At 43.4% G+C, this 21,258-nt stretch overlaps 2 annotated features.

Moving 5' to 3' along the window:
* Positions 1,230 to 2,429: an enhancer, noted in NCBI's record as "P300/CBP strongly-dependent group 1 enhancer chr2:97093193-97094392 (GRCh37/hg19 assembly coordinates)". NCBI's record gives its function as "activates an origin of replication core promoter dependent on BRD2, BRD4, P300/CBP, MED14 and CDK7 cofactors, with strong dependence on P300/CBP, by STARR-seq in HCT116 cells {active_cell/tissue: HCT116}" and the evidence as "EXISTENCE:reporter gene assay evidence [ECO:0000049][PMID:35650434]".
* Positions 7,556 to 8,057: an enhancer, noted in NCBI's record as "H3K27ac hESC enhancer chr2:97087565-97088066 (GRCh37/hg19 assembly coordinates)". NCBI's record gives its function as "activates a minimal SCP1, AML or CMV promoter by ChIP-STARR-seq in primed H9 embryonic stem cells {active_cell/tissue: H9 hESC(primed)}" and the evidence as "EXISTENCE:reporter gene assay evidence [ECO:0000049][PMID:30033119]".

Raw genomic sequence — 21,258 nt, 5'->3', positions numbered from 1 at the left:
TAAATAGCTTTTGGATTAGACAACAATTATTTTCCTTTAGTTAAGAAGTTAAGGTTTGTACTGCACATTGCTGTGTGAGTTCTGTGAAGGGGGAGCAAATGAGGAGGTGATCTACACACTGTAGAAGTTAGTCCCCCTTAGAGATTGCTTGGTTAGATTTCTTGCTAGGGTTTGTCTGAATAAGTGTGGGCTATTTTTAACCCTGGAGGTAAGACTATCTAGGTGAAGGTTATTGGTTAAAGATTTAGCTGGCATTCCTGGGAGAAATAGGGCTATTAGAGGGAAAGATGAATTCAGAAGTTGGGTAAATATTAAGCAGGCACCCATTTTGGAAAGTATATTTTTGTCCCAAAGGAGTTTGGGTTATTTAGATACTATAGGGACTGTTGGGAGAAAGGTCGTTGGTTCCTTAAGTAATATAAAGGGGTGTGAATTTTTTGGGGGAGGGAGCAGGTGCTGCTTGCCCTCATTACCTGACAGAATTTGGAGGAGAGTTGTTCAGGGAAGATTAGTACAGAGTAAGTAGCTTTTGAACTTAAAAGGGAAATTTATAATTTCACTTGCCACCTTCAGAGTTGCCCTTGGTTTTGTTGTGTTGATGGTGGTGTCTGATTTGGAAGCAGCTGGAGCAGAGAGCCCCTTCAGTTCAAGGCCACCAAGGGTTGGAATTCCATCCTGGAGGCACTTCAGCCCTCAAGGAAGCTTCATTTCCAGTGGCTGAGCTTGTGGCAGAGCCATGTAGAGCTTTTTCCCATTTATCCCATTGGGGTAGTTTGCCTTCCAGTGGCCTGGCAACTACCTGGAGAAGTTTCCTTAGAGCTATGGGGAGGGGCTGGGGCTTGTACAGCAGCCAACAGTTGAGCTTGCCTTTTGTCCCTGTATTTTTCTTTCTCCTTAGCCCTGTCCTCCTTATTCTGCTCTTGGTTACAAAAGACTGAGGAGACTAATTTGAGGATTTTCTGCAGAGGGGCCATGCTTTATTTCACAAGAAAATTAGACCTTCCTTTTTGAGGGTTTGGGGGTTGAATTTGTCCCAGTGCTTTGGAATGCAGCCTAGAAGTGAGTTTGAAGGAATAGATGGGTCCGACGGAAGGACTGGAAAATGAGCCACTCAGGGCTAACATCTCCTGGGGACATGAACCACACATTCTCTTGGGGCATCCCACTGAGGAAAAGGGTTTCACTCATGTCTGCTTAGGGACTTGGGTGCATTTTCTTTTTTTCTTTCTTTTTTTTTTTTGAGATGGAGTCTCGCCTTGTCACCCAGGCTGGAGTGCAATGGGGGGATCTCAGCTCACTGCAACCTCTACCTCCTGGGTTCAAGTGATTCTCCTGCCTCAGCCTCCCCAGTAGCTAGAGTTACAGGCATACGCCACCGCGCTCAGCTAATTTTTTGTATCTTTAGTAGAGATGGGGTTTCACCATGTTGGTCAGACTGGACTTGAACTCCTGACATCGTGATCTGCTTGCCTCGGCCTCCCAAAATGCTGAGATTACAGGTGTGAGCCACCTCGCCTGGCCTCAGGTGCACTTTCTAAAGGGGTGTCCCACCCATTAGAAAAGACCTCTTCATGCTGGTGCCTTATGCCAGATGGCCAGTCCAGGTATGCTGTTATGCTGGGTGATTAACCCAGGTATGAGGAAAAAGGGTAAAGGAACAACTTGGCTTGGTGCCAGTCCAGGAGAGGGGGTGGGTAAAGAAAGATGTACCATTCTGAGGCTGTCTGGGATCACCTGATTTAGCAACATCCAGAGCAAGATGACTGGGTGACTCCACAGGAGAATTTAGAGTGAGAAAGAGAGGATATGAGTCACCCAAAATGTGTGTGAAGTCACTCTGAATGAGCTACCGCTGCCAGTCATGTCATACATAGGGATTAGGGACCTTTGGCCAGAAAAGAGAGAAGAGGGAATTTTCCTCCATCACAGGCAAGGCAGCCAACCCTGTTCACCCTTTGGCCTTTAGGCAACACTGAGTAGCAGCCCCAGCTGGTTGCTGTTAGTTGCTAGAGGGATACTAGCAGCCGGCTGCTGGAAGACTGAAAAGAGAAAATAAACTTAGGTCCCTCACCTGATGGGTGGTGGCAGTTAGACACTTTCATATGGACACCTTTCAGTCCCACCAGAGTGTAACTTCGGCCAGAGACCTTCAGTTGTCTCCATGCTTAGACGCTGTCCACCGAGGGCCCTGGGTTGGGAAAGAGAGAGGGGAGAGGGTTTCCTGTAAGAAGAGAGAGTCTTCATATGGGCCACCCAAATGTCATGGATAGCAACTAGCTGGGGCTGGTGGTGTGGGTGGTAAAAGAATTTACCAAGACAATTGTCGGTACAGAAAGGCAAATTTTTTAGCGAAAATAGGAAAATACATTGCAAGAAAGCAACAGGCAGATCAGCAAGAGAGGAGCTGACTGCTGGGGATTTAATAGGATGGTGCTTGTGATGGAGAGGGCTGCGTGCAATACTGATAATACCAAGGTTGCAGTGAGCTAGCTTGCATTTTTCTGTCAGGCAAGGGTCTGGTGATAGCTGGGCACAGGCAGATTGTGAGTTATTTGTACAGGAGGACTGTGTGTCCTGGACCATGAAGAAGGACAGACGCATGGCTTATCTGCCTTTTCTTTTTGCTTTCTCCTGCTCCCACCAGCCTGATTCTTTTTCCCTTATTAGGACCCCACAGCTTATTCATGTCCCTAAATATAACACAGGAAAGGATAAGCATCCCTTCTTATGTGACAACATCTTTTCATGCATTAAACATATCAAATACACCAATTTATTTTTATATTTTCTCTTTTTACAAGATTAAAGAACCAATCCTTGAAGATTTTCAAGAAGCCCTCTGGGAAATCTCAAAGTCAGTTTGAGAACAAGATTTCATTTAGGATTTGATTTTTGGGAAGGCAAAATTGTCACACACACACACAAAAAAAACTTCAGCTCTTTTAAAAGTGACAAGTGTTGGTACTCTTAAATAATCAAGGACATGACAAAGATTAACATAAAGCACAGGAGATTCTTCTGAGAATATGTAAAATCTTGCTTTCCTAGACAGATTATTTAAAAGGTGAAGAAAAACCTTTTACAACCTCTTTCTAAGAAAACTTTGTTGTTTTAACAGAGAGAAAAACCAAATTTTAGTTTTGCACCAACGTACTTCTGATATTAGGGCTTAAAAAAACATAAATAAATCCATTCAAATCTTAGCCAGCTTGACCATACATAAAATTCCTTTTCCAAGATTCCTTTTCCACAACGCTTCTACATCCATTCAGGTCCCCTCACCTCCTGCCCCACATTTTCCTTTCTCATTCTGGAACAACTAGATGTTCTATTAATACATTAAAATAAAATTACCCTCTTTCTCTTAACAAAAAAACATACCTTCATCTTACTTTCTTTGCATACATACACATCCGATTTTCCTTGCATACTTTTCATATGCAGTTGTTTTCCTCCAGCTTTATTATTTTTAATAGTTTTAATTACATATATTAATTATAATTTTAACTATTAGTAACCTTTCTTTTACAGAGAAAACTAGGAAGCATACAATTGTGAACTGTCATCACATACCAGTATTCTATAGCAGATTAGCAAAATACTATACAAATACTAACAAGTGTTTTATGAATATACTATCTGACAATTTCTAGAGACATATACTGTTTCTTTATAGTAAAATTTTTCAATATGACAAAAAGAATGTTTACTAACAGATCCAAATGTATTTTATCTACCTATACCATGTAAAAAGAAAAACTCCAAAGTATATAAATTTAAACTTAATCTTAATGATATGATTTGGCTCTGTGTCCCCACCCAAATCTCATCTCAAATAGTAATCCCCACGTGTCGAGGGAGGGAGGTGATAGGATCATGGGGGTGATTTCCCCCATGCTGTTCTCATGATACTGAGTGAGTTATCATGAGATCTGATGGTTTTATAAGTGTTTGGAAGTTCCTCTTTCCCTCTTCTCCCTCCTGCCGCCTTGTGAAGAAGGTGCCTGCTTCCTTTTCCACCGTGATTTTAAGTTTCTTGAAGCTTCCCCAGCCATGTGGAACTCTGAGTCAATTAAACTTCTTTCCTTTATAAATTACCTAGTCTCAGGGAAGTTCTTTATAGCAGTGTGAAAATGGACTAATACACTTAGCCATGAATGTTTTGGTAGTTTATTGTACTTAGAAACAATGTAGACATTTAATGGATTTCTGTTACTTAATTTAACTTAGCATAACTCCAAGGTTGCAAGTTACCAAAAAGATTTTGAAAATTGTTTTCAGGTATTAAACAAAGCTAGCACCAAGTGTAGTGGCTCATGCCTATAATCCCAGCACTTTAGGAGGCTGAGGCAGCAGGATTGCCTGAGGCCAGGAGTTTGAGCCTGCAGTAGCCTGTGATCATGCTATTGCACTCCAGCCTGGGCAACAGAGCAAGATCCTACCAAAAAAAAAAAAAAGAAAGAAAGAAAAGAAAAGAAAGAAAGCTAGCCATCATCTCAAATTCTTCCTCTGTTAACTATTTTTACAGCACATGCATGTTAAACAAATATCATAAAAATAAAAACCTAAATTATTAAATACATAGAGCTTTTGCTTTACTATTGTGTTTGCTTTACTGTTGTGTTTGCTTTATTATTGTGTTTGCTTTACTATTGTGTTTGCTTTACTATTGTGTTTGATATAAGTGAAATAATGGACTTCAAGCAATTCACTTTTACTGCATCTTTACTCGTACATTTGTTCTCATATTATATTAACAATTTTCATATTCTTAAACATCCAGTAGATAAAATATTAGCTTATTTAACTAGTAAACCCAAGTTGAATAGAAATGTATGCTCATATTACATTTAATGCTGGAACTCAGAAGACACAACTGTTTTTATTAAGCCAATAATATTAAACTAATCTTACATATCAAAGATTTACCTAAGTCATATAAACTTGAAGAGCAATATAGTTCCTTTATTTCTGAGAGTTTTAGGAATATTTAAATTATATAAGTACTTATTTTTATTTTTATTTTTTTGACACAGTCTTGCTCTGTCACCCAGGCTGGAGTGCAATGGCACGATCTCGGCTCACTGCAACCTCCGCCTCGTAGGTTCAAGTGATTCTCCTGCCTCAGGCTCCTGAGTAGCTGGGAATACAGGTGCCCGCCACCACACCCGGCTAATTTTTTTGTATTTTTGGTAGAGACTGGACAGAGCTCTTTTATTAATTAATTTTGGCAACACCATGTGGAGATAGAAAACTATCACATGTACATCACATACATACATGGACAAATGCAAATAGAGATCTTACAGCTTTCCGTTCCTTTTTTTTTTTTTTTTTTTGAGATAATCTCGCTCTGTTGCCCAGGCTGGAGTGCAGGCCTGATCTTGGCTCAAGTGATTCTCATGCCTCAGCCTCCTGAATTGCTGGGATTACAGCCATGCACCACCACACTTTGCTACTTTTTGTATTTTTAGTAGAAACTGGGTCTCAGTTTGTTGGTCAGGCTGGTCTCAAACTCCTGGCCTCAAGTGATCTGCTCACCTCGGCTTCCCAAAGTGCTGGGATTACAGGCATGAGCCACTGCACAAGGCCCATTCTAAAATTTTAATACACTCTTATCTTTGATATTTGTATCTGAATTGTGTGTTGCTTTTGTGTATGTGTATGTGTTTGTGGGGGAGATTTTTAAGATTTCCTTCTGCCCTGTTATGTAATCCCTTGGAGCCTGTGGATCACATTTCAAGCATGTTACTAAGGAGATGCTGGGGGCTGCCTGAATGTCCTCACAGCCCACGTGAGTGGATAAAAATTTAATCTAATTCCAATCAGCTTTTTTCTTTTCAGCTTCAGGAAGTTGCTTTTGGGATAACATGAGTCCCCTGAGAGCCCCTGATTGGGGCAGGGGGACTGAAATGGCTGAGGGAGCCAAGGGCTGGGAAAGAGAAATGTCTGGTGGGGGTGGACAGAGGCAGGAGGGGGAGGAGTTTAAAGGGGACACATCAAAGGATTCAAGGGAGCTGAAGGGAAGATCAAAGGTGGTCGGAGGAGGAAGGAGGAGGAAATAATGGGAAGACGGAGGTCTTAGAGGGGCCGTTTTGGGGAGGTCTTAAGTTTCCCAGAAAGACCAATCAAGTTCTAAATTATCCTCAGCCAGCTCATGCACTAAGAAGATGGACAGAGCTGGTGGAGCATATAGTTAGCCAGGGTTCAAGAAGGAAGTTTCAGTGGACTGAAAGATTCCCGTGGGAGGAGCAGGGCCAAATAGAGAACAGAGAGCCTTCATGAAGAGCCAGGGAAGAATCTTCCAGCCCAGGATTTGGGGAGGGGATCCCCACTTGAAACAAAGTGAGGAAGAATTTACCAGCCCAGAGCCAGGCCTAGGAGTCAGAGAATGAATGAATCATCTCCACTGCAAACAAAGAGCGGGACTTCCAGTACAGCAGGCAGCTTCCAATCAAAGATGCTTGGGCCTAGCACTGTGGCTCATGTCTGTAATCCTAGCACTTCCAGAGGCTGAGGCAGGAGGATTGCTTAAGCCCAGGAGTTTGAGACCAGCCTGGGCCAATCCTATCTCTAAAAAATAAAATAAAGTTAGGTGTGTGTGGTGGCATGCACCTTGATATGGCTTGTCCCCACCCAAATCTCACCTTGAACTGTAATAATCCCCAAGTGTCAAGAACAGGGCCAGGTGGAGATAACTGACTCATAGGGCTGGTTCCCCCATACTGTCCTCATGGTAGTGAATAAGTCTCGCAAGATCTGATGGTTTTATAAATGGGAGTTCCCTTGCACAAGCTTTCTTGCCTGCTGCCATGTAAGACGTCTCTTTGCTCTTCCTTCATCTTCCACCACGATTGTGAGGCTTCCCCAGCCATGTGGAACTGTGAGTCCATTAAAAATCTTTCCTTTATAAATTACTTAGTCTCGGGTATGTCTTTATTAGCCACATGAGAACAGACTAATACACAGCTGTAGTTCCAGCTACTCAGGAGGCAGAAGTGGGAGGATCACTTGAGGCCAGGAAGTCAGGGCCACAGTGAGCTATGATTGCTCACTCCAGCCTAGGTGATAGAGCAAGAACCTGGTCTCTAAAAACAAAACAAAACAAAACAAACTTGACTGTAACCCAGCTTCTTACAGAGAGAGAATCTTGAGACTCTAATTCAGCTTTTAGCTTATACTCAGTCTTAAGAATAGAAATCTGTGCTCACACTAGACCGCCTCTCTAGATTCTTCTTCACTGGGCAGGGCCTCTCTGAAAGAAAGGCAGCAGCCCCAGTCAGGGGCTTATAGATAAAACTCCCATCTCATTGGGACAGAGCCACTGGGGGAAGGCATGGCTGTGGGCACAGCTTCAGCAGAATAAAACGTTCCTGCCTGCCGACTCTGAAGACAGCAGTGGATCCTGACAATAAGGGTTCTACCAGCACAGCACTTGAGCTCTGCTAAGGGACAGACTGCCTCCTTAAGTGGGTCCCTGACCCCCGTGCCTCCTGACTGAGAGAGACCTCCCAACAGGGGTTGACGAACACCTCATACAGGAGAGTTCCAGATGGCATCAGGCCAGTGCCCCTCTGGGACAGAGCTTCCAGAGGAAGGAGCAGGCAGCAATCTTTGCTGTTCTGCAGCCTCTGCTGGTGATACCCAGGCAAATAGGGTTTGGAGTGGACCTCTAGCAAACTGCAGCAGACCTGCAGAAGAGGGACCTGACTGTTAGAAGAAAAACTAACAAAAAGAAAGCAATAACATCAACATCAACAAAAAGAAGCCCCACACAGAAACCCCATCCAAAGGTCATTAGCCACAAATATCAAAGGTAGATGAATCCACAAATATGAGGAAAACCAGTGCAAAAATGCTGAAAATTCCAGAAACCAGAATGCCCCTTCTCCTTCAAATGATTGCAAGTCCTCTCCAGCAAGAACACAAAACTGGACAGAGAATGAGTTTGACAAATTGACAGAGGTAGACTGTGGGTAATAACAAACTCCTCTGAGCTAAAGGAGCATGTTGTAACTCAATGCAATGAAGCTAAGAACCTTGACAAAAGGTTACAGAAACTGCTAATTAGAATAACCAGTTTAGAAAAGAATATAAGTGACCTGATGGAGCTGAAAAACATAGCAAGAGAACTTCATGAAGCATACATAACTATCAATAGCCAAATAGATCAAGTGGAAGAAAGGATATCAGAGGTTGAATATCAACTTACTGAAATAAGGCATGAAGATGAGATTAGAGAAAAAAGATTGAAAAAGAATGAACAAAGCCTCCAAAAATATGGAACTATTGTGAAAAGACCAAACCTACAGTTGATTGGGGTCCCTGAAAGTGACGGGGACAATGGAACCAAGGTGGAAAACACACTTCAGGATATTATGCAGGAGAAGGTCCCAAACCTAGCAAGATAGACCAACATTCAAATTCAGAAAATACAGAGAAGACTACTAAGATGCTCCTCGAGAAGAGCAACCTCAAGACAACCAAGGTTGAAGCAAAGGAAAAAATGTTAAGAGCAGCCAGAGAGAAAGGTCGTGTTACCTACAAAGGGAAGTCCACCAGACTAACAGCAGATCTCTTTGCAGAAACTCTATAAGCTAGAAGAGAGTGGGGACCAATACTCAACATTCTGAAAGAAAAGAATTTTCAACCCAGAATTTCATATCCAGCCAAACTGTTTCATAAACGAAGGAAAAATAAAACCCTTTACAGACAAGCAAATGCTGAGGGATTTTGTTACCACCAGGCCTGCCTTACAAGAGCTTCTGAAGGAAGCACTAAATATGGAAAGGAACAACCGGTACCAGCCACTGCAAAAACACACCAACATGTAAAGACCAATGACACTTGGAGAAACTGCATCAACTAGTGTACAAAATAACCAGCCAGCATTATAATGACAGGGTCAAATTCACACATAACAATATGAACCTTAAATGTATATGGGCTAAATGCCCCAATTAAAAGACACAGACTGGCAAATTGGATAAAGAGTCAAGACCTATCTGTGTGCTGTATTCAGGAGACCCATCTCACATGCAAAGACACACATAGGCTCAAAATAAAGGGATGGAGAAATATTTACCAAGCAAATGGAAAGCAAAAAAAAAAAAAAAGTAGGAGTTGCAATTCTAGTCTCTGATAAATCAGACTTTAACCAGCATAGATCAAAAGACAAAGAAGCACATTACATAATGGTAAAGGAATCAATGCAACAAGAAGAGCTAACTTATCGCAAGAACAAAAAACCAAACACCGCATATTCTCACTCATAGGTGGGAATTGAACAATGAGAACACATGGACACAGGAAGGGGAACATCACACTCTGGGGCCTGTTGTGGGGTTGGGGGAGGCGGGAGGGATAGCATTGGGAGATATACCTAATGCTAGATGATGAGTTAGTGGGTGCAGCGCACCAGCATGGCACATGTATACATATGTAACTAACCTGCACAATGTGCACATGTACCCTAAAACTTAAAGTATAATAAAAAAAAAAGAAGAAGAAGAGCTAACTATCCTAAATATATATGCACCCAATACAGGAGCACCCAGATTCATAAAACAAGTTCTTAGAGACTACAAAGAGACTTAGACTCTCACCCAAGAATAGTGAGAGACTTTGACACCCCACTCTCAATGTTAGACAGATCAACAATACAGAAAATTAACAAGGATATTCAGGACTTGAACTCAGCTCTGGACCAAGTGGACCTAATAGCTATCTACAGAACTCTTCACCCCAGATCAACAGAATATACATTCTTCTCAGCACCATATAGTACTTATTCCAAAAGTAACCACATAAATGGAAGTAAAACACTCCTCAACAAATGCAAAAGAATGGAAATCATAACAAACAGCCTCTCAGACCACAGTGCAATCAAATTGGAACTCAGGATTTAGGAACTGCCTCAAAATTGCAAAACTACACGGAAGCTGAACAACCTGCTCATGAATGACTGCTGGGTAAATAACGAAATTAAGGCAGAAATAACAAAATTCTTTGAAACCAAGGAGAACAAAAAGACAATGTACAAGAATCTGGGACACAGCTAAAGAAGTGTTTAGAGGGAAATTTATAGCACTAAATGCCCACATAAGAAAGTGGAAAGATCTAAAATTGACCCTGTAACATCACAATTAAAAGAACTAGAGAAGCAAGAGCAAACAAATTCAAAAGCTAGCAGAAGACAAGAAATAACTAAGATCAGAGCAGAACTGAGAGAGATAGAGACATGAAAAACCCTTCAAAAAAATCGATGAATCCAGGAGCTGATTTTTTGAAAAGATTAACAAAATAGATAGACGGCTTGCCAGACTAATAAAGAAGAAAAGAGAAGAATCAAATAGACACAAGAAAAAATGATAAGGGGGAGCTCACTACTGATCCCACAGAAATGCAAACTACTATCAGAGAATACTATAAACACCTCTACAAAAATAAACTAGAAAATCTAGAAGAAATGGATAAATCCCTGGACATATATACCCTCTAAGACTAAACCAGGAAGAAGTTGAATCCCTGAACAGACCAATAAGAAGTTCTGAAATTGAGACAGTAATTAATGCTTACCAACCAAAAAAAAGCCTGGGACCAGACGGATTCACAGCCAAATTCTACCAGAGGTACAAAGGGAAGCTGGTACCATTCCCTCTGAAATTACTCCAAACAACAGAAAAAAAGGGACTCCTCCCTAAGTCATTTTTGGAGGTCAGCATCATCCTGATTCCAAAACCTGGCAGAGAAACAACAAAAAAAAGAAAATTTCAGGCCAATATTCCTGATGAACATCTATGCGAAAATTTTCAACAAAATACTGGCAAACTGAATCCAGCAGCACATCAAAAAGCACATCCACCATGATCAAGTTTGCTTCATCCCTGGGATGCAAGGCTGGTTCAACACATGAAAATCAATTAGCATAATCCATCAAATAAACAGAACCAATGACAAAAACCACATGATTATCTCAATAGATGCAGAAAAGGCCTTTGATGAAATTCAACATGCTAAACATTCTCAATAAACTAGGTGTTATTGGAACATATCTCAAAAAAAAGAACTATTTATGACAAATCCATAGCCAATATCATACTAAATGGGCAAAAGCTGGAAGCATTCCCTCTGAAAACTGGCACAAGACAAGGATGCCTCTCCCACCACTTGTATTCAACATAGTATTGGAAGTTCTGGCCAGAGCAATCAGGCAAGAGAAAGAAGTAAAGGGTATTTAAATAGGAAGACAGGAAGTCAAATTGTCTCTGTTTGCAGATGACATAATTGTATATTTAGAAAACCCCATTGTCTTAGCTCAAAAGCTCCTTAAGCTGATAAACAACTTCAGCAAAGTCTCAGAATACAAAATCAGTGTGTAAAAATCACAAGCATTTCTATACATCAGTAATAGACAAGCAGAGAGCCAAGTCATGAGTGAACTCCCATTCACAACTGCTACAAAGGAAATAAAATACCTAGGAATACAATTTACAAGGGACGTGAAGGACCTCTTCAAGGAGAACTATAAATCACTGCTCAAGGAAATAGGAGAATACACAAACAAATGGAAAAACATTCCATGCTCATGAATAGGAAGAATTAATATTGTCAAAGGTGGCTATACTTCCCAAAGTAATTGATAGATTCAATGCTATTCCCATCAAGCTACCATTGACTTTCTTCACAGAACTAGAAAAAACTACTTTAAATTGCATATGGAACCAAAAAAGAGCCTGTATAGCCAAGACAATACTAAGCAAAAAGGAAGAACAAAGCTGGAGGCATCATGCTACCTGACCTCAAACTATATTACAAGGCTACAGTAACCAAAACAGCATGGCACTGGTACCAAAACAGATATATAGACAAATGGAGCAGAACAGAGGCCTCAGAAATAACACCACACATCTACAACCACCTGATCTTCCACAAACCTGACAAAAACAAGCAATCAGGGAAGGATTCTCTATTTAATAAATGGTGCTGGGAAAACTGACTAGCCATATGCAGAAAACAGAAACTAGACTCCTTCCTTACACCTTGTACAAAAAATTAACTCAAGATGGATTAAAAACTTAAACGTAAAACCTAAAACCATAAAAACCCTAGAAGAAAACCTAGGCCATAACATGCAGGACATAGTCATGGGCAAAGACTTCGTGAATAAAACACCAAAACCAATTGCAACAAAAGCCAAAATTGACAAATGGGACCTAATTAAACAAAAGAGCTTCTGCTCAGCAAAAGAAACTATCATCAGAGTGAACAGGCAACCTACAGAATGGGAGAAAATTTTTGCAATCTATCCATCTGACAAAGGTCTAATATCCAGAATCTATAAGGAACTTAAACAAATTTACAAGAAAAAAACAAACAATCCCATCAAAAAGTGGACAAAGTGTATGAACAGACACTTCTCAAAAGAAGACATTCATGTGGCCAACAAACATATGAAAAAAGCTCATCATCACTGGTCATTAGAGAAATGCAAATCAAAACCACAATGAGATACCCTCTCACACCAGTTAGAGTGGCAATTATTAAGTCTGGAAACAACAGATGCTGGTGAGGATGCAGAGAAGTAGGAATGCTTTTACACTGTTGATAGGAGTGTAAATTAATTCAACCATTGTGGAAGACAGTGTGGTGATTCCTCAAGGATCTAGAACCAGAAATACCATTTGACCCAGCAATCCCTTTACTGGGTATATACCCAAAGGGTAATAAATCATTCTACTATAAAGACACATGCACATGTATGTTTATTGTAGCGCTGTTTACAATAGCAAAGACTTGGAACCAACCCAAATGGCCATCAATGATAGATAGACTGGATAAAGAAAATGTGGCACATACGCACCATGGAATACTCTGCAGCCATAAAAAAGAATGAGTTCATGTCCTTTGCAGGGACATGGAAGAAGCTGGAAACCATCATCCTCAGCATACTAACACAGCAACAGAAAACCAAACACTGCATGTTCTCACTCATAAGTGGGAGTTGAACAATGAGAGCACATGGACACAGGGAGGGGAACATCACTCACCGGGGCCTGTTGTGGGGTGGGGGGCAAGGGGAGGGAGAGCATTAGGACAAATACCTAATTCATGCGGGGCTTAAAATCTAGATGATGGGTTGATAGGTGCAGCAAACCACCATGGCACATGTATACCTATGTAACAAACCTGCATGTTCAGTACGTATATCCCAGAACTTAAAGAAGAAAAAAAAAGATTAAACAAACAAACAAACAAAAACAGAAAAAAAAAAAAGGAATCTGTACTCACTAACTTCGACAGTCATTTGACTGGAGCAATGGTTCAGGAGTCTGACTCACCAATGGATCCCAAATCAATCAGGAGTGAAGACTAAAGGCTTCAGTGATGCACACTTAGGATGCTGGATGAGAAGCCTGGGAGTCCAATGATGAATCTGATTGATACGGTTTGGCTGTGTCCCCACCCAAATCTCATCTTCAATTGTAGTTCCTGTAATCCCCTGGTGTGATGGGAGGGACCCGTTGGGAGGTAATTGAATCATGGGGGTGGTTACTCCCATGCTGCTGTTCTGATGATAGTAAGTGAGTTCTCATGAAATCTGATGGTTTTAAAAGGGGCTTTCCCCCAGTTTTGCTCTGCACTTCTCCTTGCTGCTGTCATGTGAAGAAGGACATGTGTTTTCTTACCCTTCCACCATGATTGTAAATTTCCTGAGACCTCCCCAGCCCTGTGGAACCGTGAATCAATTAAACCTTTTTCCTTTATAAATTATCCAGTCTTAGGCAGTTCTTTATAGCAGTGTGAGAACAGACTAATACACTGATCCTATCTGAATCACAGCACCTTAATTGTTAAAAATTAATAAATGGTGCTTGTTCAAGGCAGGAAGGTAGACTTTATTCAAGACCTGTTTCTTTTATTCAGGGTATAGGTGTAGGCACTACTGCAATGGGCCTCTGCAGCAGGGATGAGAGAGTGGGCCCAATTCCAAACATAACAAGGAAAAGGGAAATGTACAGCCTCCCAGGGTGGATGGGGTTCAGTGGCTGGAAAACTACTAAGAGGAAGCCTCGGGGGTCAGAGGGCTTCTGGCTAAACCCACCTCACAGGCCAGCGTGATGGGACATCGCCTTGGGGTTGGTGAGGATGAGGAACCTGATCTGACATCAAGGGTGATCAGATAATGAGGGAGGGGGTTCTGGCTAAACCAACTTAGCAGGGTTCTTGCTAAAATTGGACAATGCAGAGATGAACACAGAGACCTAAAAGTCAAGGCCTAGTTGGGAAGATGGTTCTGGAGAAAATAAATTTCTGTTTTTGTTTGTTTGTTTGTTTGTTTGAGACAGTCTCGCTCTGTCGCCCAGACTGGGGTGCAGTGGCGCCATCTCAGCTTACTGCAACCTCCACCTCCTGGGTTCAAGCAATTCTCCTGTCTCAGCCTCCCAAGTAGCTGGGACTACAGCCACCTGCCACCATACCTGGCTAATTTTTGTATTTTTAGTAGAGACGGGGTTTCACCATATTGGTCAGGCTGGTCTCAAACTCCTGACCTCAGGTGATCCACCCTCCTCAGCCTCCCAAAGTGCTGGGATTACAGGCGTGAGCCACTGCACCCACCCAAATTTCTGTTGTTTAAGCCACCCAATCTGTGATATTTATTATGGCAGCCTGAGAAGATTAACACATTTTCCTAGATTCAGGCACTAGCTTGATTCTAATTTCTCTTTACAAAGAGTTCCTTTGTGAAAAGAATTCTTTCCTTTTGTGTTATTTCCCTGAGTATATTTGTGGTGATGATATTTTCTCAGACTCTAGAATAGTAACTACTGGAGAGAAGACAATTTTCCTTCTACTCTCTGAAGATTTGATATTTGAGTCTCTGAGAAAAATAAAAACACCTGACAATAGACAGGTTAATGGGAGGAAAAGCATACCAATTTATTACATGCATACACACGGGAATCTCACAAAATATAGGACTCAAAGAAAGGCCAGAAGATTGAAGTTTGTTTGTTTGTTTGAGACGGAGTTTCTCTCTTGTTGCCCAGCTGGAGTGCAACGGTGCGATCTCGGCTCACTGCAACCTCCACCTCCCGGGTTCAAGCAATTCTCCTGTCTCAGCTTCCCAAGTAGCTGGGATTACAGGCACCCGCCGCCACGCCCAGCTAATTTTTGTATTTTTAGTAAAGATAGTGTTTCACCATGTTGGCCAGGCTGGCCTCGAACTGCTGACCTCAGGTGATCCACCTGCCTCAGCCTCCCAAAGTGTTGGGATTATAGGCATGAGCCACCACACCTGCCCTGAAGTTTTTATAGCATTGGAATAGGGTTTTGAACTTCTGGCTGCAGTGAGTTATGACACCAGATGGTGGCAGATGGTGAAGATGGTGACAAGCTATGAGAGGGTTGGGGAAGCAATGCACAGTGAATAAAATGTCTTATGGGTGCAGTGGCTCAGGCCTGTAGTCCCAACATTTTGGGAGGCCAAGGCAGGAGTATCGCTTGGGCCCAGGAGTTCAAGACCAGGCTGGGCAACACAGTGAGACCCCCATCTCTAAAATTCTTTTGTAATTAGCCAGGCATGATGGTGCATGCCGCTAGTTCCAGCTACTCAAGTGGCTGAGGTAGGAGGATCAATTGCCTGAACCCAGGAGTTCAGGAGTTCAAGGCTGCAGTGAGCTATGATCATGCCACTGCACTCCAGCCTGGGTGACAGAGCAAGCTCCTGTCTCAAAAAAAAAAAAAAAAAAAAAAGTCTTATTATGCAGCTAAATTCTCAGGTAATCTCGAACTGCCTGCAGAATAGTGATAGCCTGTGACAGTCTCTGTCTGGGCAGGTGCCTAGTCTCTTTCTGTGATATGATCCTTCCTAGCTCTGACTCTAGACAGGTAAGGGGCCCTTAGAGAAAGCTTCTGCTTTCGTCCGCTGTTGATTAATGTAGATTTCCTTTATAGATGCAAATTTCTTTTACGAAAGGACAGCTTTTCAGAGCTATCCCTGCGCCTGCAGGCTCTCTGAATAGCCATCTTGAAATATGTCAAAGAAGTATATTTTGGGATGGCATATCTTAGTCTCCCATCTAATACACATGTTATGACCACTATACAAATTGTTATGGGGCCACAGGAAGATAATGCTAAGATTGGGCTTCTCTGGCCAATCCTAGGGGAACAATCAACAGGACTACAGTTGCAGCAGTGGAATGCCCTGCCTGGCCCCCAGCCCTGGACATTGCCCCATTCACCTGTCCCTCGCTTCTCTAAACCTCCCTGTAACTCTGTCTTCTGGACCCATGTGTCTGCTGGGTGTACAGCACCCAGCACTTGGAGCCAGTGAGTATCATATGTTAAGGAAAAATTGTTGGGCTTGGACCAATCACCCACCCCATTCCAGCCAGAGCCTGTCTCTTGTTTGTTCACCGACTACACACCCTATCCAAACCAAGCCTCTGGCTCTTGTCCTCTAAGTGGCACTGTTAAAGCGGAAACACGAGAAGGAATAAAGGAGCTTATTCTTTTTTCCTTCTTATTTATTTATTTAGAGACAGGGTCTTGCTTCATCACCCAGGCTTGAGTGCAGTTGTTACAGGAAAGGGGTCCTGATCCAGACCCCAAGAGAGGGTTCTTGGATCTCGTGCAAGAAAGAATTCAGGGCGAGTCTTCAGTGCAAAGTGAAAGCAAGTTTACTACGAAAGTAAAGGAATAAAAGAATGGCTACTCCATAGACAGGGCAGCCCCAAGGGCTCCTGGTTGCCCATTTTTATGGTTATTTCTTGATGATATGCTAGACAAGGGGTGGATTATTCATGCCTCTCCTTTTTAGATCATATCGGGTAACTTCCTGATGTTGCCATGGCATCTGTAAACTGTCATGGCACTGGCGGGAGTGTAGCAGTGAGGACGACCAGAGGTCACTCTTGTGGCTATCTTGGTTTTGGTAGGATTTAGCCAGCTTCTTTTCTGCAAACTGTTTTATCGGCAAGGTCTTCATGACCTGTATCTTGTGCTGACCGCCTATCTCATCCTGTGACTTAGAATGCCTTAACTGCCTGGGAATGCAGCCCAGTAGGGTTCTGCCTCATTTTACCCAGCTCTTAGTCAAGATGGAGTTGCTCTGGTTAACACGCCTCTGACACAGTGGTGCGATCTCAGCTCACTGCAGCCTCTGCCTCCCAGGTTCAAGCGATATTCGTGCCTCAGACTCTTGACTAGCTGGGGTTACAGGTGCATGCCACCACACCCAGCTAATTTTTGTACTTTTTAGTAGAGATGAAGTTTCAGCATGGTGCCCAGGCTTGTCTTAAACTCCTGAACTCAAGCGATCCTCCTCCCTTGGCCTCCCAAAGTGTTGGAATAAAGACGTGAACCACCGTGCCCAGCCGTGGTGTCTCTTCTTACAAGGTCACTAATCCTGCAGAACAGGGTCCCACCCTCGACCTCACCTCGTTTAACCCTTATTGCTTCCTTATAGGCCCTATCTCCCAATGTAGTCACATTGGTGGTGAGGGCATCAACATAGGAATTTGGAGGTGAAGGGGAGAAAAAAATGTATAATTTCTTTTCTCAACCCTCATAAGTTCCTAGCTGGGACACCTCTGTAACAAAAGACAGATCAATAGGAAAAAACGGTTGGGCTCAGTGGCTCACGCCTGTAATCCCAGCACTTTGGGAGGCCGAGGAGGGAGGATCACTTGAGGTCAGGAGTTCAAGACCAGTCTGGCCAACATGGTGAAACCCCATCTTTACTATAAATACAAAAATTAGCTGGGCGTGTAATCTTAGCTACTAGGGAGGCTGAGGCAGGAGAATCACTTGAACCGGGGAGGCAGAGGTTGCAGTGAGCCGAGCCGAGATTGCGCCACTGCACTCCAGCCTGGGTGACAGAGCAAGACTCCGTCTGAAAAAAAAAAAAAAAAAAAAAAAAAAAACAAAACAGGAAAAAAAGGAATATAATTTTTTTGGTGTGAATGTACAAATTTATTGACATGCATATGAACAGAAGAGACACATACAAAATATAAGACTCAAAGAAGGGGCCAGGCCACTGAAGTTTTTACATCATCCTGAGGTTATAGAGGGACACAGGTTATGGGAAAGTGTGTCTAACAAAGGCTGTCTTGTGGTGCAGATGAAAATATCCCTCAGCCGGACATTGTGGCTAATGCCTGTAATCCCAGCACTTTGGGAGACTGAGGCAGGAGAATCGCTTGAGCCCAGGAGTTTGAGACCAGCCCTAGCAACATAGCGAGATACCATCTCTGAAAATAATTTTTAAAAATTAGCTGGGCATGGTGGTGTGCACCTGTAGTCCCAGCTACTCAGGAGGCTAAGGTGGGAGGATCTATAGAGCCTGGGAGTTTGAGGCTGCAGTGAGCTCTCATTGCACTACTGCCCTCCAGCCTGAGCAACACAGCAAGACCCTGTCCCGAAAAAGAGAAAAAAAAAAAAAAAAAAAAATCCCAGGTAAACTCAGAGCTGCCCTCAGAAAGAATAGATGGTGGCCTTTGGTAAAAGATTCTCTCTGAGACCTTTAAAAGTGTCAGACTTCAGTGTTTATTTTCCTGAGTTAATCTTTCCTAGATTCAGATAAGGGAGGCATTACCCCCAAAACCGGGTTTGTTTGCCTGGTGAGTAACAAATGACTCTCCATGAGGATGCAGGTTTTGATCAATAAAAGTTTTATTACCTGGCCCAAGTAGGTAGAACCCTGGGAGTATTCTCCAAGGCAGTGTCCCCTGAGGGAAAGTGACAGGAGGGTTTCATGGGGCGATGGAGGGGGAGAGGATGTGTCTTCGCATGTGGAGGAGGGGTCCCAGAGGTGCAGACGCAGTGATCCTCATGCCAGCACATAGGTCGCATGTGATGGTGATGGAGCTGAGCTGCAGCCCTTCCTGGGGTGGAGACTTTAGCATGGTAACAAGAAAGGTCACTTGGGTTCATCTGTAAGTTGCTAGGGTCTGTTGGGAGCTGGTTTGAATCAAGTGGGTGACTGCATTCTAAACAGGGCTTGGAAGAAACAGGCTGCAGGGCAGGAGGCTGTAAAACAGGCTGATAGGCTGGGCGTGGGGGTTCAAGCCTGTAATCTAACACTTTGAGAGGCCAAGGTGGGTGGATCACCTGAGGTCAGGAGTTCAAGACCAGCCTGGTCAACATGGTGAAACCCTGTCTCTACTAAAAATACAAAAATTAGCTGGGCGTGGTAGCACGAGCCTGTAGTCCCAGCTACTCGGGAGGCTGAGGCAGGAGAAATCCTTGAACCAGGGAGGTGGAGTTCGCAGTGAACCGAGATCACACTCCAGCCTGGCACTCCAGCCTGAGTGAAAGAGCGAGACTCTGTCTCAAAAAAAACAAAAAACAAAACAAAACAAAAAAACCCAAAACAGGCTGATTGCTTAAGTTGATTAAATTCCTATAATCCTTTGAGATCCCCCAACCCCCTCACCCCTGCACCCCACTTGCTTACAGGGTCCTCAGGGAAAGCCTGGGCATTGATTTCACTAACATAGATTTTCTCTCCAGGTGCAACTCTCCCTCACGAAAGGCAGCTTTTCAAAGTCCTTCTTCTGTTTGCAGCCTCTCTGAATAGCCATCTCAAAATAAGCCAAAGAGGTATATTTTGGGGTGAAATATTCTCGTTTCCTTTGGGGGAACACAAACATTCAACCCATAACAGAGACAGTCCCTGTCAATGTCATGTGTTAACAGTCAGGAGGCAGCCCAGGGTGGAGCGGCAGGCTGGAGACCCGGGATTGCTGGGCTGAGATCCGGCTGGGGCATCCCTGAGAGCAGGAGGTGGCTGGACCGCGGGAGGTCAGTGCCTGCCTGGCGGGGAGCCCCAAGGGCACCTGTCTGGGCTAGCCAAGAGGAGAGCATCCGCCCCGGGAGGAGTGCAGGCAGGACTCCCGCTGACAGGGCCTGCTTGGTAGATGCTGGGCAAGTAATTAGAGAAGGGACGATTACCCACCACAGGCTGTTGGCTCTGGATGTAAAAGAAATTGACATGAGGCCAAAAGAGTTTTCCCAGACGAGGCTTCATTAGAGCTTATGCCTGGACATAAGGGAGGCAGCACTAGAGAGGAGAGAGAGAGAGAGAGAGAGAGAGAGAGTGATAGAGAGACAGAGAGAGAGAGTGACGGAGAGACAGAGAGTGAGAGACAGAGAGAGACAGAGACAGAGAAAAAGACAGAAAGACAGAGAAAGAGACAGAAGGACAGAGACAGAGAGAGACAGAAAGACAGTGAGAGAAAGGCAGAGAGAGCGACAGAAAGAGAGAGAGACAGAGAGAGAGAGAGGGAGAGAGAGAGAGAGAATTTCCTGACTGACTCTCCAAAAAGAGCTGGTGGAGATTTTTTTATTAGACAAAGCATAGGAACTAATATCAGGGGTAGGGCGAGCAGGCTGAGCCGGGCAGACCTCATAAGGGGTAGGGTGTGCAGGTCAGCATATTTGATTGCCATGGTTTTCATGGTCAGGATAACCATGACCCATTAATAATAATGGGCCACCTGGTGGTCTGGCTGGTAGCAACAAAGCTTTAAATCAATTGTTCAGAATTCCTTCCTGGGATGCGACACTGTGCAACCTTGGTTATCTCCTCAGGCCAGTTCCTGGAATTTTTTTTTTTCTTTTTTTTGAGACAGGGTCTTGCTGTGTTGCCAGGCTGGAGTACAATGGCACCATCATGACTCACTGCAGACTTGACCTCCCTGGGCTCAAGTGATCCTCCCACCTCAGACTCCTGAGTAGCTGGGACTACACGTGTTTGTCACTATGCTCAGCTAATTTTTGTATTTTTTTGGAGAGACGGGGTTTTGTCATGTTGCCCAAGCAGGTCTAAAACTTACAGACTCAAGCGATCCGCCTGCCTCGCCTCTCAAAATGCTAGGATTACACATGTGAGCCACTGCGCCTGGCCAGAGTTCTTTAAGTAAGCGGCATGGTTAAACATTATGGCATCGTGGGGTAGTGGTGTGGGTTTTGTGATCCGTGGGAATGCTGTAGTGGGGCTGAGCTGAAGCCAAGTCTTATCTCTACTGTCTCAGTACTCTCACTCCAGCTATTACCGAGCAAATGGGCTTGCTGCCTGACTGCACAGAAGCCAACACTGCTGCTCCAGCTTTGAGAAAAGAAAAGCTTCATTGTGAGGCAGACCAGCAAGGAGACAGGAGGCACAGCTCAAACTTCTCTCTCCAATTTGGGGTGTGGGGCACGTTTTAAGGGGTCAGAGGGCAAGGGAAAGTATTTAGGAATGTTGGC

Source organism: Homo sapiens, chromosome 2 (genome assembly GCF_000001405.40).
Source record: "Homo sapiens chromosome 2, GRCh38.p14 Primary Assembly".
In the NCBI taxonomy this organism is placed as follows: domain Eukaryota; kingdom Metazoa; phylum Chordata; class Mammalia; order Primates; family Hominidae; genus Homo; species Homo sapiens.
Note: the sequence above shows the minus strand (reverse complement) of the source record. Positions and strands in the feature narration are given on the sequence as shown.